General features: G+C 42.8%; 1 protein-coding gene and 1 pseudogene across 19 annotated transcripts in view; one reads left to right on the forward strand and one right to left on the reverse strand.

Moving 5' to 3' along the window:
• NBPF11 (NBPF member 11) overlaps positions 1-25,148 on the reverse strand; it is a 50,131-nt gene that overhangs the window by 14,533 nt on the left and 10,450 nt on the right. For 3 of the 19 annotated variants that reach the window (NR_169628.1, NR_046188.5, NM_001385474.1), the window contains exons 3-13: positions 21,028-21,126; positions 18,989-19,130; positions 10,458-10,605; positions 10,146-10,355; positions 8,216-8,318; positions 7,170-7,384; positions 6,046-6,118; positions 5,372-5,583; positions 3,818-4,027; positions 1,937-2,039; positions 889-1,103 (exon numbers count right to left, since the gene is read on the reverse strand). Coding sequence is in view for 15 of the 19 variants with exons in the window: in NM_001385474.1 (NP_001372403.1) it covers positions 889-1,103; positions 1,937-2,039; positions 3,818-4,027; positions 5,372-5,583; positions 6,046-6,118; positions 7,170-7,384; positions 8,216-8,318; positions 10,146-10,320 (1,306 nt within the window). In the remaining 4 variants the exon portion in view is untranslated. Of the gene's footprint in view, positions 1-888; positions 1,104-1,936; positions 2,040-3,817; positions 4,028-5,371; positions 5,584-6,045; positions 6,119-7,169; positions 7,385-8,215; positions 8,319-10,145; positions 10,356-10,457; positions 10,606-18,988; positions 19,131-19,202; positions 19,355-21,027; positions 21,127-23,828; positions 23,882-25,148 lie in introns of all 19 variants that reach the window. The other 16 variants (NM_001385472.1, NM_001385473.1, NM_001101663.5 and 13 more) reach the window with 11 other exon arrangements.
• Positions 12,677-13,458, forward strand: PFN1P4 (profilin 1 pseudogene 4; annotated as a pseudogene).

A 25,148-nucleotide genomic window follows, 5' to 3' on the forward strand; every position in this document is an offset into this window, starting at 1 on the left:
GGCATGGTTTCCTGGTCCATCAGGCAATGCATTTCTGATCTGGAGGGCCACCATCAAGATGTGGCCAAATATTGAAAAGACCTTTTGCTTCCCATATCACTGGAGGCTTGTGCAGCCTCTCTCTGGACTTTGGCAGCTGTCTCCCCCATCCTGCCAGATCTGATTCCCAGGCACAGGCTTGGTGTCCTGTCACAGTTTGCATTTCAAACCTAATTCTTTCTCTTAGAAGCAAACTTGTCCCACAGTCCTCTATGCATCAGAAGATTTCAAGCCTCCAAGTGGCTTCTGCTGTGTTATTCAGGGACATTCTATCCATGGGGAGTGCTCCAGTCTGAAGCACTTCCTACCACAAAATGCCCCCACATCAAGTGCCTTCTCCAACACCACACGGAGAGGGGCTTCATCTCATTTTGGAAAGCAGTTGTAAGTGTTCCCACATTTGAATGCTTCAGACCTTGCAAGAGACAATTTGTCTGCCATGGAGAGAGAGAAACTCAGGAAGGACAAGTCATTCACTCACCGACAGTTACTAAGAACATTGCCAAAAAGACAGCCTGGGAACCTTCATTCTTAGTCCAGAGCTCTTTTCACTCTAACAAGCCTGCTCCCATCGCAGCCTCCTTCCTGTCCTTTAAAACTAGACAGATGCTGCCTCTTACTCCAAAGACCACCTTCCATCAAGGAAGGAGGGACACTTGCAATACTGTGACCTCCAACCCCATGGGTTTCCCATCTCCGTTCTTACCCAGGAAGTCCTGGTCATGTCATGGCCACATAAGCTTAGTGGAAAAAAACACCATTGATACAACTGTCATTGTGAAAGTATGGAGGTCTGGAGCCTCTCATAAGCCTGGGGTTTTGGGTCATCAGGGCCTATGGCCACCTTACCTGGGCTGAGCTTTTGGACAAGGTGCTGTGCCAGTCTACACCCCTCAGCCAGCTGTTCTTGGAGGTCCTGCCCCTGGGACTTGTCCGGCTCATCCGGAGTGAGGAGGGCCTGGAGATGCTCATTCAATGAGCGGGAGGCATCTCTCCCTTCCCGTAACTTCTCCCTTAACTGGGTCAGCTCTCGTTCCTGAGAGTGAACCAGGACTTTATATTGCCTAAGGTGAGACGGTAGAGAAAATTTAAGAGTGGAAAGGGTTGAGTGATCCGTTCAAATATTGCAACAGAGATTTCTGAGACAATGTCCTCAAGGAGACCTCCAAGCAGAAGGTCAGCACATGTTGAAAGGAATGTCTGTGGCCAAGAGAAAGAATAGAAAATGGTTTACAGGCTTCCTCTGTATCAGAGAGGGCTCCTGCAAGATCCTCGATGATGTTCCATTCATCTTTCCTTCTGTAAACAAAAGTAGGTGTCTTCCTAATTCCGTTTCAAAAAGACATCCTTTCAGTTCCTCACTCTGGCCATGGACATTTCCATGTGAAAATACACATAGTGCATCTTGCGGCCATTAGATACAAAGCCATGTACAGAAATGAGGCCAGATGCAGATAGGGCGAATTGAAAAGACGAAAGAAGAAAAGAATGACAGGGTCGAGAAGGCAACATTGATTGAGTGAAAGAATGAGAAGCCGCAGTCAGTCAGGAGGTGATTCTCACTAGGGTAAGTGGGGTGGTGATGGCACACCATTTTGAGTATACTGAATGCTGCTGTGTGGTTCACACTCCTTTGGTTAATTTTGTGTTATGTAAATTTCACATCAACAATTACTTGTTTGAAAAAGAGAAAACAAGGCTCTGAGAAACAACTGCAACCCATAAATTTTTATTATCCTTCTTCTCTGTTTGATAAATATTTGTGTGTAGCAAACCTGCCATGGCAATTCCTGCCCTTCCCCTGGCCCAGCTTAGCTCTTACGTCTCCCCACTGAGCTACTGTACTTCAGAGATTTACACACCTGCCCCCCTGCCTGCCCCCATGGGGTCCCCTCACCTGAGCTCCTCAGCTTGCTTCAGCTGCTCTGCAAGCTTCTCCTCCTTGAACTGTCGCTCATTCCTCAGCATAGATTTTATGAGGTCTTTGCACTCTTCATATTCTGAGAAAAGACAGACACGCCTGCATCAGTGGAAGGCTGGACATGCTGCTGTGGTCATTGCCTACAGGGCAGGAGCCAGGTCCATCCCAAGGACAAAACTCTCCACAGTACCAGGGTCTAGACAGGGATTTCCACGTCTTTACTCTTCAGTCTCCTGACTTTCTGGCATCTGATCCTCCAAAATTTAGAGATGAAGAAAGAGAAACTCAAGGGCACATCAAGGAAGTTGACAAGATGATTCAACCACAACGAAGTGGAGTCAGAATTCACAGTCCCTGAGGTCTGACTCTGAATTCGGGGCCACTTTCCCAAGACTTGCAGCCTCTCCTCTAAAACACTGCACTGGGGCATGAAGTAGTGATTTCTTGTACAGTCGGGAAGGCCCCTAGGACTATGGGACTGATGGTTTCCCTTTTACTGGGAATTTCAAGGACAAGTATGTGAAAGATTTTAAAAATCTTTGATTTTTTAATCATATCTTCAGTTATGATTTTAAGAATCATATCTGAAGCATAAAGTGTGACACATAACACCATAAGGCCATGAAGGAAATCCTATGCCCAAATGCTAATGAAGTTTCTGTTAATTTAGAAACAGCAGAATGAAGAACTAATAGATAGTGTTTACTCTGTGCCAATAAACGTTCTAGGAGATTGACAAGAAATAGCTCATGTAATTCACTGCAGCAATTTACAGAGGTAGGTATTATTGTAGTACCCTCTGAACAGGTGAGGAAACTGAGGGACAGAGAAGACAAGCACCTTGGATGGAGCCCAGGAGACAGGCCCACGGTCCCTGCTCTGTACACTGCACTGCTACCTCCACACATTCTCGGGTGCGATCTTTCTTCCTCTTTAGGAACAAGACTCTGTGCCCCAGGAAGCAGGACTTCACTCTCACCAAGCTACTCTCTGCTTTTTATTCTTATTTTTATTTATCATTATTATTTTTTTTTAACAGTCTTGCCCTGTCACCCAGGCTGGAGTGCAACGGCAAAATCTTGGCTCACTGCAACCTCAGCCTCCTGGGTTCAAAGGATTCTACTGCCTCAGCCTCCTGAGCAGGGGTGATTACAGTCACCTGCCACCACGCCCATCTACTTTTTGTATTTTTAGTGGAGATGGGGTTTCTCCATGTTGCCCAGGCTGGTCTCAAACTCCTGACCTCGTGCTCTACCCGCCTCAGCCTCCCAAAGGGCTGGGATTACAGGAGTGAGCCACCATGCACGGCCCCTACTCCCTGCTCTTGATGCTGTCACTTATAGATAGCACAGGTTCTATTAGGAGCAGACTCCTCTTGAAGCCCCTCAGAGCGGGTACTGGCTACTATCACCAAGTTTCCCTCAGAGTCACTAGAACAGAGCTTTGTGTATTGGGCCTCAACAGAAACTTGAACTGAATAAAAGTTCACTAGTCTCAGATATTTAGAACAACAGACTAGATGTTATTTGTCTGCAGGATCTTATGTGGTACAGAGAGGATTCTTGAAAACACGATTGAGCCTCTTGGAGAAAACAGGTCATTCTGTGCCTGTGTCAGAAATCAATAAATGGCAGTTTAACTCTAGTCCCACCCCCACCTGATTGCAAACATGGAAAGTTGCTAAATACTTTGGTACCTCTGTCTTCCAACTTTAACAAAATGTTAAAATACCCATTTCTGTTTTCCTAGAAGTATGGGGAGGATGACATTATTTTTGATGGAGAGAGCACTTAGTTTCTCAGAGAGAAGACAGGACTTCGTTCATCACTTTCGTGATGGTGAGCATATAGATCTTACTGTATTTGTTCTGCTGCTTGGCCAGGAAGCAGGCCACTTGAGTTACAAAACATTTCTCTTTGAGGCTTCTGAACTGCTGTTTCTTCTCTGCCAGCTGGGGGCACAATTTCTCATTGATTTCTAGAATGTTCATCTCTGCCTTCTCGCTGGACAAAGGGCCGGCTGATACCACCATGCTGACGTTTGTGGCAGAAGAGGTGGGGCCAGGGACTGGGGAGAAGAAAGGCAAACATATGATGGGTTAAAAACTGGTGAAATCAAATAGGCTTAATCAGGACTGAGGGATGTCACTGGTAGCCTTGTTTACTTATTTGAAGATGTTGTTTCCCTGGTTTCACTCTTGTCATCTCCAGTCTTGATCTCCTTTAAGTCAACTTGTCTTAGCTATGCAGTCACCTTGAAACCAAGACATAAACACTTCTACACTTGCTTATACGTTTCTATAAAGCAAGGCTTGGCCCTGAGATTTTTATCCCATGAGTGGCCAATGTTTCTGTGTAGCACAAAAGATTTCATTTTGCTTTTTAAATTTTTTCCTTTTTTGGTTTTTTGTTTTCTGTTTGAGACGGAGTCTCACTCTGTCGCGCAGGCTGCAGTGCAGAGGCACAATCTCAGCTCACTGCCACCTCTGCCTCCCGGGTTCAAGCGATTCTCATCACTCAGCCTGCCAAGCATCTGGGATTACAAGCGCCAAGTAACATGACAGCTAATTTTTGTATTTTTAGTAGAGATGGGGTTTCGCCATCTTGGACAGGCTGGTTTCGAACTCCTGAGCTCAGGTGTTCCGCCCACCTTGGCCTCTCAAAGTGCTGGGATTAAGATGTGAGCCAGCGTCCCTGGTCAGAGACTTTTTTTTTTTTTTTTTGAGATGCAGTCTCGCTCTGTCTCCCAGGCTGGAGTGCAGTGCCACAGTCTCGGCTCACTGCAAGATCCGGTTCCTGGGTTCATGCCATTCTCCTGCCTCAGCCTCCTGAGTAGCTGGGACTACAGGCGCCCACCACCGCGCCCAGCTAATTTCTTTTTTTTTTGTATTTTTAGTAAAGACGGGGTTTCACCGTGTTAGCCAGGATGGTCTCAATCTCCTGACCTCGTGATCCACCCGCCTCGGCCTCCCAAAGTGCTCGGATTACAGGTGTGACCCACTGCGCCCAGCCAAGACTTATTAATAGCTAAGACAAGCCAATGAAAAGGAGAGAGAGTCTAGCCTGACAGAAGTGAATGAGGGTGGGAGGATCATCTCAGCCCATCCTCCCACCTAAGTCTCCTGAGCAGTTGGGACTATAGGCGGGCAGCACCATGCCTGCCTAATTTTTTGTATTCTTCGTAAAGATGGGTTTCACCATATACTCCAGGCTGGTCTTCAACTCCTGAACTCAAGTCATCCTCCCACTTGGGCCTTCCAAAGTGCTGTGATTATATGTGTGAGTCACAGCACCTAGCTCCATCCTAGTTTCTGACTAAAACAATAACAATATGTGTATATACAGCCTGTCCTCAGAATTGATCTTCCATAGCCTAGACAGAGGTATGAGACACAAGGAAAATAGAGGCTACCTGGGAGAATGTTTAGAGCATCCTGACATCCATCATGAGAGGATTCTCTGTCTACAACCAGAGATGAGTTGACTTTGTCTTCCTCAAATGTGATTTTGATGTTCTTGTGAGGCTGGATGGAGTCACAAGGGCCGTGGCTATTTGAACAAGTGATGGCACATTCCTCCAGTGAGTCCTCAGGGACTTTGCTCTCTTCAGCCTTCTGCACCTCCCTGATGAGCCAGGTGGGACAGAGATGACAGAAGATTAAACACAGAGGGATTGGACCCCAAGGAGTCCTAGCTGGTTTTGACAAGCGGCATTAAGAGAGTGGTCCCAGAAAACAAATGGAGGTTCCCTTTAAGAGGGAACAGGCAATCCTCTTCTCTCTGCAACAGAGCTTCGCTGCCATGGGAGCCAGAGAGGAAGAGAGCAGCTGGTGTTCAGTGCACTGGACAGATAGGAGCTGAAGAGGATGAAGACTCAGCTATCCCTGTATGGTACAGACATGACACTTGGCACACATAGAGAAACACAACAGCTGCCGCACCCTGTGTCTAAGCTGGGTTGAATTTCACATACTGTGGCCAAGGGAATGCGGGCTTTTGGCCCATCATAGATGCCAGAGAGGGCGTGCCTCCTAGACATTTTCATATGTTACCACCCATTACTTGCTCCTGAGTATTCAATGTTACCTGGGGGCAGATGATTCCAGTACTTTCTCATCCTCCTCAACTTGAACATCTTCATCCTCATCTTCGTCATTTTCTATAAATACAAAATGTTCGTTCAGATATTTCCCACTTCACATTCTGCAAGCACAGTCAGCCCAACGTGCACAGAGACATGAATATCTATGTATGGTTCAGCATTGTACTGAAAACTCTCATGTTTTATCCTTCACAAAATGCCCTGGCATGGTTTCCTGGTCCATCAGGCAATGCATTTCTGATGTGGAGGGCCACCATCAAGATGTGGCCAAATACTGAAAAGACCTTTTGCTTCCCATATCACTGGAGGCTTGTGCAGCCTCTCTCTGGACTTTGGCAGCTGTCTCCCCCATCCTGCCACAGATCTGATTCCCAGGAACAGGCTTGGTGTCCTGTCACAGTTCGCATTTCAAACCTCATTCATTCTCTTAGGAGAGGACAAACTTGTCCCACAGTCCTCTATGCGTCATGAGACTGCACAGGCCCTCCATGTGGCTTCTGCTGTGTTATTCAGGGACATTCTATCCATGGGGAGTGCTCCAGTCTGAAGCACTTCCTACCACCAAATGCCCCCACATCAAGTGCCTTCTCCAACACCACACGGAGAGGGGCTTCATCTCATTTTGAAAAGCATTCGTAAGTGTTCCCATATTTGGATGCTTCAGACCCTTGCAAGAGACAATTTGTCTGCCTTTGCAGATGGAGAGAGAGAAACTCTGGAAAGATAAATCACTCACTCACCGACACTTACTAAGAACATTGCCAAAAAGACAGCCTGGGAACCTTCATTCTTAGCCCAGAGCTCTTTTCACTCCAACAAGCGCCCTCCCATCACAGCCTCCTTCCTGTCCTTTAAAACTAGATAGATGCTGCCTCTTGCTCCAAAGACCACCTTCCATCAAGGAAGGAGGGACACTTGCAATACTGTGACCTCCAAACCGATGGGTTTCCCATTTCTGTTCTTACTCAGGAAGTCCTGATCATGTCATGGCCACATATGTGTAGTAGAAAAAAACCCCACTGATACAACTGTCATTGTGAAAGTATGGAGGTCTGGAGCCTCTCATAAGCCTGGGGTTTTGGGTCATCAGGGCCTATGGCCACCTTACCTGGGCTGAGCTTTTGGACAAGGTGCTGTGCCAGTCTACACCCCTCAGCCAGCTGTTCTTGGAGGTCCTGCCCCTGGGACTTGTCCGGCTCATCCGGAGTGAGGAGGGCCTGGAGATGCTCATTCAATGAGCGGGAGGCATCTCTCCCTTCCCGTAACTTCTCCCTTAACTGGGTCAGCTCTCGTTCCTGAGAGTGAACCAGGACTTTATATTGCCTAAGGTGAGACGGTAGAGAAAATTTAACAGTGAAAAGCATTGAGTGATCCGTTCAAATATTGCAACAGAGATTTCTGAGACAATGTTCTCAAGGAGACCTTCAAGCAGAAGGTCAGCACATGTTGAAAGGAATGTCTGTGGCCAAGAGAAAGAACAGAAAATGGTCTACAGGCTTTCCCTCTATCAGAGAGGGCTCCTGCAAGATCCTCGATGATGTTCCATTCATCTTTCCCTTCTGTAAATAAAAGTAGGTGTCTTCCTAATTCCGTTTCAAAAAGACATCCTTTCAGTTCCTCACTCTGGCCATGGACATTTCCATGTGAAAATACACATAGTGCATCTTGCGGCCACTAGATACAAAGCCATGTACAGAAATGAGGCCAGGTGCAGATGGGGCGAATTGAAAAGACGAAAGAAGAAAAGAATGACAGGGTCGAGAAGGCAACATTGATTGAGTGAAAGAATGAGAAGACGCAGTCAGTCAGGAGGTGATTCTCACTAAGGGTAAGTGGGGTGGCAATAGCACACCATTTTGATTATACTGAATGCTGCTGGGTGGTTCCCACTCCTTTGGTGAATTTTGTGTTATGTAAGTTTCACCTCAACAATTACTTGTTTGAAAAAGAGAAAACAAGGCTCTAAGAAACAACTGCAACACAGAACTTATTATTATCCTTGTTCTCTGATAAATATTTGTGTGTCATGAGCCTGCCATGGCAATTTCTGCCCTTCCCCTGGCCCAGCTTCGTTCTTACTTCTCCCCGCCGAGCTGCTGTACTTCAGAGATCTACACACCTACCTGCCTGTCTCCCCCTACGGGGTCCCCTCACCTGAGCTCCTCAGCTTGCTTGAGCTGCTCTGCAAGCTTCTCCTCCTTGAACTGTCGCTCATTCCTCAGCATAAATTTTATGAGGTCTTTACACTCTTCATACTCTGAGAAAAGACAGACACGCCTGCCTCAGTGGAAGGCTGGACATGCTGCTGTGGTCACTGCCTACAGGGCAGGAGCCAGGTCCATCCCAAGGACAAAACTCTCCCCAGTACCAGGGTCTAGACAGGGATTTCCACATCTTTACTCTTCAGTCTTCTGACTTTCTGGCATCTGATCCTCCAAAATTTAAAGACGAAGAAAGAGAAACTCAAGGGCGCATCAAGGAAGTTGACAAGATGATTCAACCACAACGAAGTGGAGTCAGAACTCACAGCCCCTGAGGTCTGACTCTGAATGCGGGGCCACTTTCCCAAGCCTTGCAGCCTCTCCTCTAAAACACTGCACTGGGGCATGAAGTAGTGATTTCTTGTACAGTCAGGAAGGCCCCTAGGACTATGGGACTGATGGTTTCCCTTTTACTGGGTATTTCAAGGACAAATATGTCAAGAACTTTAAAAATATTTCATTTTTAAATCAATATTCAGATATGGTTTTAAGAATCATATCTGAAGCCTAAAGTGTGAGACATAAGACAATAAGGCCATGAAGAAAATATGCCCAAATACTTTATTAGTATGAGAGGCAGCATTAAGATTTAGATTAGTTGTGTTAATTTAGAAACAGCATAAGATTAGTTTGTGTTAATTTAGAAACATCAGAATGAAGAACTAATAGATAGTGTTTACACTGTGCCAATTAATGTTCAAGGAGATCGACAGGAAATACCTCATGTAATTCATTGCAGCAATTTACAGAGGTAGGCATTATTGTAGTACCCTCTGAACAGATGAGGAAACTGAGGGACAGACAAGACAAGCAACATGGATGGAGCCCAGGAGACAGGCTGAGGGTCCCTGCTTTGCACACTGCACTGCTGCTTCCACACGTTCTCGGGTGTGATCTTTCTTCCTCTTTAGGAACAAGAGCCTGTGCACCAGGAAGCAGACTTCACTCTCACCAAGGTACTCTCTGCTTTTTATTTTTATTTTTGATTTATTTATCTTTTTGTTTGTTTGTTTTTTGACGAGTCTTGCCCTGTCACCCATGCTGGAGTGCAATAGTGCAATCTTGACTCACTGCAACATCTGCCTGCTGGGTTCAAAGGATTCTCCTGCCTCAGCCTCCCGATTAGTGGTGATTACAGTTGCCCGCCACGACGCCCATCTACTTTTTGTATTTTTAGTGGAGACGGGGTTTCTCCATGTTGCCCAGGCTAGTCTCAAACTGCTGACCTCGTCCTCTGCCCGCCTCAGCCTCCCAAAGTGCTGAGATTACAGGAGTGAGCCACGTTGCACGGCCCCTACTCCCTGCTCTTGATGCTGTCACTTATAGATAGCACAGGTTCTATTAGGAGCAGACTCCTCTTGAAGCCCCTCAGAGCAGGTACTGGGTACTATCACCAAGTTCCCCTCAGAGTCACTAGAACAGAGCTTTGCCTGTTGGGCCTCAACAGAAACTTGAACTGAATAAAAGTTCACTAGTCCTAGACATTTAGAACAACAGACTAGATGTTATTTGTCTGCAGGATCTTATATGGTACAGAGAGGATTCTTGAAAACATGATTGAGCCTCTTGGAGAAAACAGGTCGTTCTGTGCCTGTGTTAGAAATCAATAACTGTGAGTTTAACTCTAGTCCCACCCCCATCTGATTGCAAACATGGAAAGTTGCTAAATACTTTGGTACCTCTGTCTTCCAACTTTAACAAAATGTTAAAATACCCATTTCTGTTTTCCTAGAAGTACAGGAAGGATGAAATTATTTTTGATGGAGAGAGCATTTAGTGTCTCACATTCATCACTTTCATGATGGTGAGCCTATAGATCTTACTGTATTTCTTCTGTCGGTTGGCCAGGAAGCCGGCCAGTTGAGTTAGAAAACATCTCTCTTTGAGGTTTCTGAACTGCTGTTTGTTCTCTGCCAACTGGGGGCGCAATTTCTCGTTGATTTCTAGAATGTTCATCTCTGCCTTCTCGCTGGACCAAGGGCCGGCTGATACCACCATGCTGACGTTTGTGGCAGAAGAGGTGGAGTCAGGGACTGGGGAGAAGAAACCCAAACATATGATGGGTTAAAAACTGGTGAAATCAAATAGGTTTAATCAGGACTGAGGGATGTCAGTAACTGAAATTCTTAACTTACTGTTGTGAAAAATGTGATCACTCCCCACAGCACTTTAGGATCCTTCACCACAAAAACAAGGTTCGAGGTGCCTCAACTCAGAGCTGAAAGCACTGCTCAGACTCTGATAAGAGTGAGGTAGATTGTGGCCAGCGTGCCAGGTAACCGTCTGCAGTTGCAATAACAGAATTAGAAGGTAGGGGTGTCATGGAATCTTAGGAGCCCTGCATTCCAATTGCCCAGGCTTTGCTGAAACACAGGCACCCTAGTCTCACCTGAGGGTCACCACCAATGGGGATCATTCCTTCAGCATTCACTCTCAGTATTCGTGTACCCTTGTGACAATGCCACAGACCCGTGTCTTTCCCAATACATCTAAGCATATTCCTCACTGTTTATCTCTTGTCTGTACAACATCATCAAGGCAGAAACAGTTTCCCAACAGGTTATATTTTCTTAATGGTAGTCATGAAGTCATAAATAAAAAAATGGAATCATTTAGTATGTTCTCTTGTTTTGACTTTTTTTTTTTTTTTTTTTTGAGACAGAGTCTCACTCTGTCGCCCAGGCTGGAGTGCAGTGACGCGATCTAGGCTCACTGCAAGCTCTGCCTCCCAGGTTCACGCTATTCTCCTGCCTCAGACTCCCAAGTAGCTGGGAATACAGGCGCCCGCCACCACGCCCGGCTAATTTTTCTTTTTTTTTTTTTTGTATTTTTAGTAGAGACGGGGTTTCACTGTGTTAGCCAGGATGGTCTCGATCTCCTGACCTCGTGATCTGCCGCCTCGGCCTCCCAAAGTGCTGGGATTACAGGCGTGAGCCACCGCACACGGCCGACTTCTCTTTACTCAGGTGGGTATATATGCCACTAATTTGTTTGATTGTGTTTTTCCCTTGTTTCATTTTGTTTTGGCCAAGTAATATCCTATTGATTGTATGATTATCACACAATTTTATATCCATTTTTCTGATGGGAGACAGGTTTACTTGATAACTACTGTGCATAAGTAACTATGAATATTCTCATACAATTATTTCTGTGAAGATACATACTTATTTTCCTGGGTATCTATAGCTAGGGATGGAGTTGCTTGGTGAATGGGTAGAAAATGTTGGACAGAGTTTTGCAAAGTATTTGTATTGTTTTACATTTCTATGAAAGATGTAGGCCATTTCCAGTTGCTCTACATTCCCACACACTTAATATTTTCAGTCTTTTAAACTATGCCAGGTGTGTAGTGATATCCTAAAATTTGGTTTTCTCATGCCTAATGTTCATTTAGATATCTTCTTATGGAAAATATCTTCTCAAATTTTTATATTCATTGATATACTGGGCTGTTTGTCAATTTCTTTGTAATAGGAGTTCTTTATATATTTTGAATGAGTCCATTTATACATACATATTTTTTGCTGTATTATATAGCAAATAATTATTCCTGGTCTAGAGATAGCGTTTAAGTTGTTAAACAACAACATAATAAGGAGAAGCTTTTTAAAAATGAAGTGCAATTCGCTTGATTTCTTATTGTGGTGAGTGCTACAGTATCTAGTCTAAGAAATATTTTCCTGTGTCAAGTTCATGAAACTATTTCCTATTTTTCCTTTACAAGGTTTCTAATTTTAACTTTCACATCTTAAGTTAATTTCAATATATGATGGAGAGTGGTTAATATTAACTTTTTAAAACAACAAATATTATTTCACTCAAAATCGTTTTACTTAAAAGTCTTTCATTTCCCCAATGAAGGGCATTGGTGTCTTTGTTTTTAAAACATTTAGAAGCGGCGGTGCGAGCATGTTCTCACTCATGGGTGGGAATTGAACAATGAGAACACTTGGACACAGGGCGGGGAACATCACACACCAGGGCCTGTCATGGGGTGAGGGCTGGGGGAGGGATAGCATTAGGATATATACCTGGTGTAAATGACGAGTTAATGGGTGCAGCAAACCAACATGGCACACGTGTATATATATATATAATATATATACACGTGTATATGTATTATTTATATATACACATGTATATATATTATATATATATACACATATATACATGTATACACGTATATATAAAATATATATACACACACGAATATATATTATATATACGTGTATATACATACGTGTATATATATAATACGTGTATATACATAATATACAATATATATAACACGTGTATATATATATTATATATATATTTTTTCTTTTTTAAGTGGCGGAGCGAGGGCTACTGCACAGCTAGCAGAGTCGTGGCGAGGAGGACAGCACCTGCATCGAGCTCTCCGCCTCCCCCACCCGCCAGCCCAGGCGGCCCCAGCAGCAGCGACCAGAGGAGCCCCTGCAGCAACGCAAAGGCCAGGTGGACACCTCCATCTACAGCCTCGTGGCGGACGGGACCTGTTAGGACACGGCCATTGTGGGCAACAAGGACCCACCTTCCATCTGTGCCACCGTCCCAGGGAAAACCTTCCTCAACATCACGCCAGCTGAGGTTGGTGTCCTGGTTGGCAAAGACTGGTCAAGCTTTGTCATGAATGGGCTGACACTGGGGGGCCAGAAATATACTGTGGTCCTGGACTCACTGCTGCAGGATGGGGAATTGACCACGGATCTTTGTATGAAGAGCATCGGTGGAGCCCCCACCTTCAACGTCATTGTCACCATGACTGCCAAGACGCTAGGCCTGCTGATGGGCAAAGAAGGTATCCATGGCAATTTCATCAACAAGTAATGTTATGAAATGGCCTCCCACCTTCAGCGTTCCCAGTACTGACCTCCTTTGTTCCTTCCACTCCACCGCTCCCCACAGCTTTGCCCGCCTTTCCTTCACATACACACACCATTTTAATTTCAGGAGTCATTACCCCACACACCTTATTGCTGCCAAAACCACATGGGCTGGGGGCCAGGGATAGATGGACAGACACCTTCCCCCACCCATACCCCTCCTGTGTGTGGCTGGAAAACTTTTTTGTTTTGATGGATTTTTTATGAATAAAAAAGATTCTACTAAAAAAAATCAATAACTGTACATATGTGGGCATATTGTTTGAATCTGTATTCTTTTGCTTTGATATATTTATGAATACTTACACCATTACTACTGTTTTTAAATTACTGTAGCTTTAAAATCAGGTTTGAAATCTAGCAGAGCAAGTCCTCCAACTTATTGCTTCTTCAAGACCGACTTGCTTATTCTAGGTTCTTTGATTTTCAAATACATTTTGAAACTAGCTTTCAAATTTCTCTAAAATCTCCTACTAGAAATATTAATCAGAATTGTGTTGATGTAATATGCTAACAAAATTGAGTCTTCCAATCAATGAACATGATATATATTTATTTAGCCTTCTTTAATTTTTCTCACCAATTGCTTTTAGGGGCCTCGTACCTGCTTCATTGCATGTATTGTTAAGCATGTAATGATTCTGGCTATTAATCTCTATTATGTTTTATTGAATTTCATTTTCTAGCTGCTAATTGCTAGTATGGAGAAATTAAGATGATGAAATCAACTTTATAAAGGCATAATTTCGGTACAACAGACTGCACCACTTTAAAATGTGTAATTCAATGCACGTTTACAAATGGATGCACTAACGGAACTACTGCCACAACCAAGATAGAGGAAATTCCCTATGCCCAAAAGTTTCTTGTACCCCTTTGCAGTTCATCAGCCTTTCAACCCTCAGCCCCAAGGAGCCACTGTCACTTCAGGTCCGTTTGCATTTTTAACCATTTTCTATAAATGAAATGATACCTGTGTTCTTTTGTGTCTGCCTTCTTTCATGCATCAATGTAATTTTAAAATCCATCTGTAATGTCTTGTAAATACTGAGTAGTATTCCTTCATGTGGCTATACCATGTATGTTTGTACTTTCACTTATTATTGGACATTTCTATCATTCCACGTTTGGGCTATTATGAAGAAACTATCATGAGCATCCATACGTAGCAGGCCAGGTCTCACTAACACAGGCCTCCCTAAAAACTGTTTCAGTAGCGACTGAGTGGTTCAATTAAATATTAAGAGGAAAAAAAAAAAAAAAAGAAGCCAGTGCCCTTATACAAAGGCTGGAATGTAACAAAAGCCCACCAAGAGTTTTGCCTAGGTTTTTCCTGGGCCTTAAAGCATGACGAAATAACGAAGGCATTCTTAACAGGAGCCATTTAGTATTAAACGAGTTTTACTGGGGGTCTGAAGAAACTCCCCAGGCCTCCACAGACAAGTTTATTGGAGATCTGAAGGGACTCTCCAAACCTCTGTGATTTAGCAGGAGACAAGATAAGGGCCCCCAGCACCTAGACCCATTTAGATTAAGTGAATTTAACTGAGGTTCCAGAGGAAGGTCTTTAGGACTCAGACTTAGTTATAGATTAAAAGAAGTTAATCACTTATGTATTTAGATGAATGCACACTTCCACATACACATATAGCTTAGAAGGTACATTAGCTCAGGAAAACTTTCCAATTTTGAGTTGGTCTGGTGATAATTTCCAGGCCGTTTCCCTGTAACCAGTTGCAGAAGTCAAAACTCTCTTCCTCCCCAGTTCATCTGTGTCTCGTTACTGAGCCACGAGAAATAGCAGCCCGCCCCTCAGGTTGGTCTGGAAACACACATACAGATCATTGTGCAGACACAGTGTGTAAATTCCTAGGAATGGAATGACTGTCTATCTGATTTGTGTTATGTTTAACCTTTAAGAAACTGTTAGATTTTCAAAGGAGCAATACCATTTTTCATTCCTACAAGTATAAGACTTCCAAGTGCTTTATATCCTCACCAACATGTGCTATTTTCAGCCTTTTTAATTTTAGCCATTCTTATGGATATGTACTGGTATCTCATTGTTGCACTGATTGATCTCCCTGATGACTAAACAGTGGAGCATCTTTTCCTATGCTAATTGACCATTCATGTATCTTCTTTTCTGAAGTATCTATTCAAGTCTTTTGAGAAATTGTTTCATTGTGCTGTTTATCTTATCAGACTGCAATATATATATGTGTGTGTGTGTATATATATATATATATATTCCCTATTTGGAGATGATAATCTTCAAAACGGTGAATATATATATATATATACACACACACACACACACACATGTTTGTGTGTGTGTGTGTGGGGGTGTGTATACATATATATATGTCCTAAGAATCAATTAGACATACATGTGAGTATCTATTTCTGGATTCTCTCTTCTCTTCCACTGATATATATTCTATTTTTTTTTTTCAACAAAACACATAATCTTGATTTTCATAGCTGTAGAGTAATTCTGGAAATAGGTAGTGAATTCATTCACCATTATTCTTTTATAATATTGCTATTTTATTATTCTTGATCATTGACATTACCATATAAATGGTAGAATCAGCTTGAAAATTTCTACCAAAATGCCACTTGGAATTTTTATTAGAATTGCATTGGATCTGGAGATCAATTTACGAAGAACTGACTCTTTAAACATAACAACTCTTCTGATCCATGACAAGGTTTATCTCCCCACTAATTTAGTTCTTTCATAATTTCTCAAAGCAATTTTTTGTAGTTTTTGGTGTACTGGCCTTACATAAATTTTGTTGACTTTCCTTTTTTTTTTTTTTTTTTTTTTTTTTTTTTTTTTTTTTTTTTTTTTGAGACAGAGTCTTGCTCTGTTACCCAGGCTGGAGTGCAGTGATGCGATCTCGGCTCACTGTAACCTCTGCCTCCCAGGTTCAAGTGATCCTCCTGCCTCAGCCTCCCAAGTAGCTGGACTACAGGCACATGCCACCACGCCTAGCTAATTTTTTGTATTTTTAGTAGAGATGGGGTTTCACTGTGTTAGGCATGATGGTCTCCATCTCCTGACCTCATGATCTGCCCACCTCGGCTTCCCAAAGTGCTGAGATTACAAGTGTGAGCCATGGTGCCCAGTCTGTTGAATTTATTTATAAGCACAACATGTATTTAGATGTTACTTTAAATGAAATTGTATTCTTATTTCATTTTCCAAATGCTCATTGCTAATATACAGAAATACAAAAGACCACTTACATTGAGAGCTTACATTCTGCAACACTACCAAACTCACTGATTAGTTCTGGTAGATTTTTGTAGATTTCTAGCATTGTTAACAAACACAGTCATTATCTGTGAATAAAGACAGCTTCAATTCTTTCTTTTCAATACTTTATTAATTTTTCTTACTTTATTGCATTGACTTAGAGCTCTAGTATAATGCTGAATTAAAAGAGTAACAGCAGGTATTCTACTTTTTTCTCTGATTTAATAGAAAAGCATTCAATCTTATGCCATTTAATATAATGTTACCTGTGGGTTCTTCAAATCTGCCCTTAATGGGGTTGGAAGTGTTGCCTTCTGTTCTCATCATGCTGAGCATTTTCTGGGGTTTGTTTTTATAAATCATGAAAAAAGTTTTCAATTTTGCCAAATGCTTTTACTGTGTATGACCACGTAATCATACGAGTTTTCTCTTTTGCCCTGGTAATATATAAAATGATATTTTTTAAATATAAAAAAGAGGCCGGGCATGGTGGCTCACGCCTGTAATCCCAGCACTTTGGGAGGCTGAGGCGGGCGGATCACACTTGTGGCAGCATTGAAGGCTTCACTCTTCCCCAAGGGATCCAATCTCCCCCCAGTCAAGAAGCTCCAGGTATCTGAACTGGATACCAGGTCATAAATTTCCACTATGGTGACTCCAACAGGTCTCTGTCCTCAGAACTAGAGCTTTTCTAATTATTACATAAGTTGACTTCTTAGTAGATTTCCCATCCATTACATCCCAGACACCTCACAATGATTAGTAACCACCACATGTCCCTGCCTCTCAAGGAAATCCCTCCCGCCTTGTCTCTAGACAGCCAAGTCCCACGGCCTGTCCTCTACTCTTCCAGAACCCTGTTGTTCTGACAGCAGGGAGGGCAAATCCATGCAGCATCTCCCGCCATGACCTCCAGCCTGTAGAGGAGAGGCGCCACAGGACCTTTACATGCACGCCGCTGTTCCCCTCACCCATGCATTTCTTAATGCCTTGGTGAGGAGAATGCCTCTGGGTCTTCCTTGGTGGGAGCTAAAGGAACAAAGGTAAATAATGCTATGGGACCCACTGAGAATTGGGGCTGTGGAAGAGTGGCCACTGAAGTAATAGACAGATGCAGCTATTGTCAGATACTCAGTGCCAGAGCAGGGAGGGAGAGGGAAGAAATACGGACCTCACCTTCCTCTCACTTCCAGGCTCCATCGGGTGCCCACATTGCTAAACCTAACTAGAAGTGTGCACACAGGGGAGCCAGGGATGCATTCTAGAAGGGACAAGCCCCAAGTGGCGTAAGACAGGATGGAAATGAGTGGAAAGTGGATCTGTGGGAAGGAGGAGGGGATGTTATGGGGAAACAAAAGGAGAATACTAGCTAATAACGCTAGGTGACACTAATATCCCCAAGTCTGTGCTCATATTCAGAAAAGAAAGCTCAGCATAAAGCACTCAACCAGGAGTCAAGATATTGTTATTTTCAACTGTTGTTCCAACAGTTGTATTATAAAGGGCCAGTTTATTTCATGCCTTTCTAATTTGACATAAAGTGCTACATGGCATTGGGGCTGGTACAGCCTCACTCAATTATGTGTTGAAGAGTACACAGAGACTGCCAGGCTGAGGGACGATGCAAGAGAATAGAAGAGATGCTCACAGACAACCACAGACCACACGGCCCTAGAGTCAGGGGCAGCACCAGCCACTGTCGGCTGCTCATTTGTCCAGACAGAGCCCACAAGCCTCAACCATGCTTTGCTTCTGCAAGATGCTTCTTCACCTTTTCAATAAACCTGCCTGAATTAAAGCTGATGGGAGTTTATTTCTCCTTCATCATAAAAGAAATTCTTCACCACAACAATCTCCAATGAATTGTGGGCACAGAAGGCAGACCCATCCCTGCTTCTCTTCCACTATCTCCCCTGTAGGCTGAAAAGGAGGAGGTACTGAATTACCTCCAAATGTTCCTCTGGCTCTGATATTCTGTGACTCTGGTTTCTTTTTGGCTACTTTGTTTTTGGAAGCATGTATCCTAAGGCATCCTGTTGAAAAACCTTTGTCTACTGTGTCCAGACATTCCTGGTGGTATTTCAGATAAGACACTCTTGGGTTGCTGCACTCACAAGCACTGAAACAATTCTATGACCATCTGTTTCATGGCCACCTGTTTGCTCATTTTCTATGTACATAAAGGGAGGGGACAGACAGCAAATTTGCATATTATAAATTGTATCATCTTAAAAAGGAAACAAGGCAATATTTTGCAATAAAACCTTAAGATGCATTAAATTTAAGCCTAATGCAATAAAGAATGCCCATAAAATTATTATCTAAAGAATGTTTAGAAAATTGTTGAACAAGGGACATCATCATTTAAAGTGATATGAAGAAAACTCAGCTAAGCATATGGGCTAGATTAGAGAGAAAAATAAAGGACACATCTCTGCCCTGGAAAAACTACTGGTAGCATCTTTCAGAAAGCTCTCTGTGTTTGAGTACGCACCTTGATCCATAGGCTCACATTTGATCCCAACTGGCAGCTGCTTCTTGGCATTAACTTTGGATTCCCAACCAGTAAATCTTAGCAAGATCTGAGTTTCTCCAGGTATGATATTATTTTGTTTGACCATCCTTATCTTCAAGGGCTACCAAGAAGAAACAAATAATTTATTTACCTCCCCAGAGGAAAAGGTTTTACCAATGAGACACTTTCTTACCATGACCCTGTTCACTTGAGTGCCCTGTGTGGCCTGAGAGAAGCTCATACTGGTCACAGGATTCTTTACATGATTAAACTCCTTCCTGAATCCCAACTTCATGGTGGTGGTGATGACAGGTATCCCATGCTCATGTCCCTGAAGTCATCAGCCTGTCTCCAGTTAGAAAAAATTACATGTATATAGAGAGGCCTCTTTGGAAGTAGCGAAAGCTTTCTCACCTTCATACATTAATGGTTGGAATGTACAATAGTATAAACACTTTGGGAAAAAACGTCTGGCATATTCTTACAGAACTAAACAACTACCTATTCTATGACTCAGTAATTCCTAAGCATTTATCCAAGAGAAATTAAAACATATGTGCAGAAAATGATATATACAAGAATGTCCATAGCAGTTTTATTCGTAATAGGAAAAACTGGAAACATTCAAATATCTATCAATACAAGAATGGATACATTCTTGTATTCAAATATCTATCAATATACATTCAAATATCTATCAATACAAGAATGTGATACATTCATTCCATGGAATGGCTAAAGGAACAAACTTTTGACACACAAAACAACATGGATGAATCTCAAAAACATTTTGAGTGCAATAGGAGCCATACGCAAAACAGTGTGAGAAAAATGATAAATAATAATGGTTTCAAGAAATGCAGAGCAGAGAGCCCAGAGGCAAAGACCCACAGGACAGAGGGTCAGTCCCAGGCTGTGGATCCTTACTAAGAAACTCCTGCGGGATTTTGCCCAGCTCCATTTCCAAACTATTTTGGGTTAGTGACTTCTTTATCCCCTCCATGTTCCCTCATTTTGAACTAGAATCACTGTAGTTGTTATTCTATGCCTGTCCCATCATTTCACATTAGGGACAGATAAGCTGTTTGTTCAGTTTCACAGGTCGACAGAGGTAAGGGAATTATGTCAAGGATCTGCACTTAATGGACACTCTCGGAAGCCTCATTCACACCTGGTGTGGATGTTTTAGATGGGATTTTAAGCTTTTGATCTGATGTGGTCTACATGACATTTTTCATGTTGAACTAATGCTTTAATGACATGAAATCTGGAAACCTCAGGGGAGAGGGTAAATGCACTTTGCAGATGGGGGAATGTGAGTGTCCTACTGTGGTAGATGGAATTTCTGAAATGGTCCCCAAACATGCCACACCCTTGTCTCTAAAGCCTCTTAAGGTGATGAGACACCATTCCTGTGACTACATTGTTATATGCCAGTTATATGACTTTAAGATGGTGAGGTTACCGCATGAACTGGATCTAATCACATCACTCCATACATGACAGAGCTTTGTGTGGCTGGTTGGAGAAGATGAAGTCAGAGAAGGTGGGAGCTTGAGAAGGACTCCATAAGTTGTTATTGGTTGAAAGATGAAACAGACAGGTAAGGAGGAAAGCACGTGGCCTCTGGAGTCAGAGTAGACTGTCTCCCCGCTGACAGCCAGCACAGAAAAAGGGCCCTCAGTCCCCCACAAACAAGAATAGGAACTCTTTCATTATCTGTAGTGAACCTGGAAAAATAGCTTGAGCTCTAGGAAAAAAACACAGCCAGCCCATTCCCGGATTTTAGTCTCACATGACTCTGATCAGAGAACCCGGCCGCTTCATTCCAGACTTCTGTGGTTTCAAACCACTGGTTTGTGGTAATGTGATAATAGGCAGCGAGAGAAAACTAGTACAGGTGCCTGTCTCTCCTCTTGAATTTCAATTTCAGATAAATGTATGCTAACCCTCTAAGAGAAAAAAATCAATCAATCGACCAATCAATGAAAGAACTACAGTAAAAATATTGCCCTCACCTTTATGTGGCTGTTCCAGAGCCCTTGCCACCTGAAGAAGACAATGAGGGGTATTTCAGGCACTTGAGGAGTGTGGCTTTACTGTTATCAATCACATTTCTGAAAGAATAAAAATGGTTCAGTGAAGGGATGGGTTGCCCCTCCACACCTGTGGGCGTTTCTCGTTAGGTGGAAGGAGAGACTTGGAAAAGAAAGAGACACAGAGACAAAGTACAGAGAAAGAAAAATGGGCCCAGGGGACTGGCGTTCAGCATACGGAGGACCCATGCCTGCACTGGCCTCTGAGTTCCCTTAGTATTTATTGATCATTATTGGGCGTTTCCGGAGAGGGGGATGTGGCAGGACAATAGGATAATAGTGGAGAGAAGATCAGCAGGTAAACACGTGAACAAATGTCTCTGCATCATAAACAAGGTAAAGAAAAAAGTGCTGTGCTTTTGATGTGCATATACATAAACATCTCAATGCCTTAAAGAGCAGTATTGCTGCCAGCATGTCCCACCTCCAGTCCTAAGGCGGTTTTCTCCTATCTCAGTAGATGGAATATACAATCGGGCTTTACACCGAGACATTCCATTGCCCAGGGATGAGCAGGAGACAGATGCCTTCCTCTTATCTCAACTGCAAAGAGGCCTTCCTTCCTCTTTTACTAATCCTCCTCAGCACAGACCCTTTACGGGTGTCGGGCTGGGGGACAGTCAGGTCTTTCCCTTCCCATGAGGCTGTATTTCAGACTATGACATGGGGAGAAACCTTGGACAATACCTGGCTTTCCTAGGCAGAGGTCCCTGCAGTCTTCCGCAGTGTAGTGTGTCTCTGGGTACTTGAGATTAGGGAGTGGTGATGACTCTTAACAAGCATGCTGCCTTCAAGCATTTGTTTAACAAAGCACACCCTGAACAGCCCTTAATCCATTTAACCCTGAGTTGACACAGCCCATGTCTTAGGGAGCACAGGGTTGGGGGTAGGGTTACAGATTAACAGCGTCTCAAGGCAAAAGAATTTTTCTTAGTACAGAACAAAATGGAGTCTCTTATGTCTACTTCTTCCTACACAGACACAGTAACAATCTGATCTCTCTTTCTTTTCCCCACAGTTCAGGTCAGGCCATGGCTCATATCTGTAATCCTAGCACTTTGAGAGGCCAAGGCAGGTGGATCACTTGAGGTCAAGAGTTAGAGACCAACCTGGCCAACATGAAGAAACCCTGTCTCTACCAAAAATACAAACATTAGCCAGGTGTGGTGGCAGGCGCCTGTAATCCCAGCTATTCAGGAGGCTGAGGCAGGAGAATCACTTGAACTCAGGAGGTGGAGGTTGCAGTGAGCTGAGATGGCGCCGTTGCATTCGAGCCCAAGGAAAAGAGAAATAACTCCATCTCCAAAAAAAAAGATAAAATAAAATAAAGACGGTTCACTACTTAACTCCAAATATTATTATGTGAAAATGTATCATCTCAATTTTAATAGGAGATTTTAAAAAATTCCTTTTCTTGTGCTCACCAGACAAGGTTTGGTAACAAATACCAGTCACCAGCACAGAAGAACCAATTCAAGGAGAGCCATAAACAGGACTACTATTATGTTCCCCCGAAAACCATCCCTAGAATGCAATCTCTTCTCTATTTGTCACAAAACGAACACAATAGTCCACTACATAAAGTCCCAAACACAGGAAAATGTAAATATAATGAAATCTGCTTTCCAAATGTTTATTCTATTCAGACCCAGTCATGGGGACCAGGGATTAGGAAATGACTACAAACAGGTTCAAGGGAATTTGGGAAGTGACAAAATATGCTGAAGTAGAACTCTGCTGATGGCTGCACAATTCGATAAATCAACTTACATCATTGAGTTGTACATTAACAATGGGGGACTTTTATAACAAGTAATTCTTTAAACAAACTTTTGGGTTTCTATTTCAACATGGAAAGAGCTAGGCAGTCATCACTTGTCCTCACAGCTAGAAAAAAGCTGAACAAACTGAAAGTCAACCCTTCTAGGGTGGATCAGAGAATTGAGGTCACAGGGAAAACTGCCACCTTAAAAATGAGAAACACAGGCTAACACATAAGGAGTCACAGGTCACAGGGAAGAGAAGCTACTGGGGACAGCAAGTGGGAGGAGCACTTAAATGATATTGACAGGTTACTAGAAGCTGAGGGTAGCCTGGCTAGAACATTAAAAACTCCTTGAAGACCAGACTAAGGGGGAATCTTACACATTTCCAAGTTTTACTACAATGATCTCAACCAGGTTCTCATGATGAAGTTCAGAAAAACTCCCTGAGGTTTGGCACTACCAACTTCAGGACTTACATTAAGCTACAGTAACCCAAATAGTGTGAAGTTGGTCAAAAGAGAAAACACACACAAATAGATGCATGGAAAAGAATACGGAGCCCAGAAGCAGGCCTACATACAGTCCACTGATCTTCCATGGAGGTTTAGAGACAATTTAAAACAGCAAAGATAGCCTTTCCAACTAGTGGTGCTAGAACAGCTGGACAACCACATGCAAAGAACTAAATAAATCCAGGTATGCATGTTATATCCTTTATAAAATAAATCTTACACGTAAATGTAAGCGCAAAACCATAAGAATCCTAGGAGATAACATAGGAGAAAATCTCGGGGATCCTGGGTTCAATGATGGCTTCTTAAATACAAAACCAAAAGCACAATCTACTAATGAAAAAAAATTAAGTTGAGCCTCATTAAAATTAAAAACTTCTGTTCTGTGAAAGACACTGTTAAGAGAATGGAAAAAGCAAGTCACAGACTGGGAGAAAATACTTACAAAATAATCTGATGGAAAAACTGCTGTCCAAAATATATGAAGAATTCTGAGAACTAAACAACACAAAGCAAAAAAAAAAAAGGTGAAAGATCTGAACACCTCATTAATAAGATATACAGATGGCAAATAAGCATATGAGAAAGATGCTCAAAATCATTTGTGAGGGAATTGCACATTAAAACAACGAGATATCACCATAAACCTATCAGAATGGCTAAAACACAAAACGGTGAACACACCAAATGCTGTCAAAGATCAGGAACAACCAGAACTCTCCATAGCTAGTGGAAATCAAAAGTGTAGTCACTTTGGAAAACTTAAGTTCATTCAAAATCCTGCACGTAAGTACTTACAGCAATTTTATCATAATTGTCAAAACTTGGAAGTACCCAAGACGTCTTTCACCAAGTGAATGAATAAACAAACTGTGTTGTAGCCATACAATGAAATCTGATTCAGGGATTTTACAAAACAAGCTATCAAGTCATGAAAAGGCGTGGAGGAACTTAAACTACATAATGCTAGAAAGAAGCCAGTCTGGAAACCTACATACTGTAATTCCAACTCTAGGACATTCTTGGAAAGTCAAAAAGATAGAAGTAGTAAAACGATGAGTGGTTGTCAGGGGTGGAGGAGAGGAGGAGGCATGAAATGGTGAAGCACAGGGAATTTTCAGCAGTGAAACTATTTTGCATGATGCTGTATTGAGGATTTAGGACATTACGTAATTGCCAAAACCCATAATCTGTGAAACTCAAAGAATGAACTCTAATGTAAACTATGGACTTTAGTTGATAATGATGTATCAACAGTGGTTCATCAATTGTAACGAATGGACCACACTAATACAACATACTAATAGGGGAAATTGTGTGCTGGAGGACAGGGGAGCCTAGGAGAACTCTCTGTACTATCTACTCCATTTTTCTGTAAACCTAGAACTGTTCTAAAAAATAACATCTATTACTTTTTTTTAATTAGGATGCAGCAGCCCCATACCAAGGTTTTGGTGGCATCCTGTTATTGTTTGGTTAGTACTTGGCATTGAAGTGCACCAACCTGGAGTCAGAGCAGTTGGAGATTTCAATGCCTATGCCATTTACCTCTAACCCTGGGGTGCCCCCGGAACACAGCTAGCAGATCAGTTAGGCAGAAGCAGCCTCAGTCATCTAGACAGTTCAGGGTTCTGGTAAGGACAGGTGCAAACCATCTAGGTGGGCAGAACTTGGTGATGACTAGGAACCACTGAGACTCAGCAGCTGCCCCAGTGGCACCCACAAATCAGAGGAGGAGGAGGCTGGGAGGACCTAAGGGCTACAG

The sequence above is a fragment of the Homo sapiens genome, chromosome 1 (assembly GCF_000001405.40).
Source record: "Homo sapiens chromosome 1, GRCh38.p14 Primary Assembly".
Taxonomy (NCBI): Eukaryota; Metazoa; Chordata; class Mammalia; order Primates; family Hominidae; genus Homo; species Homo sapiens.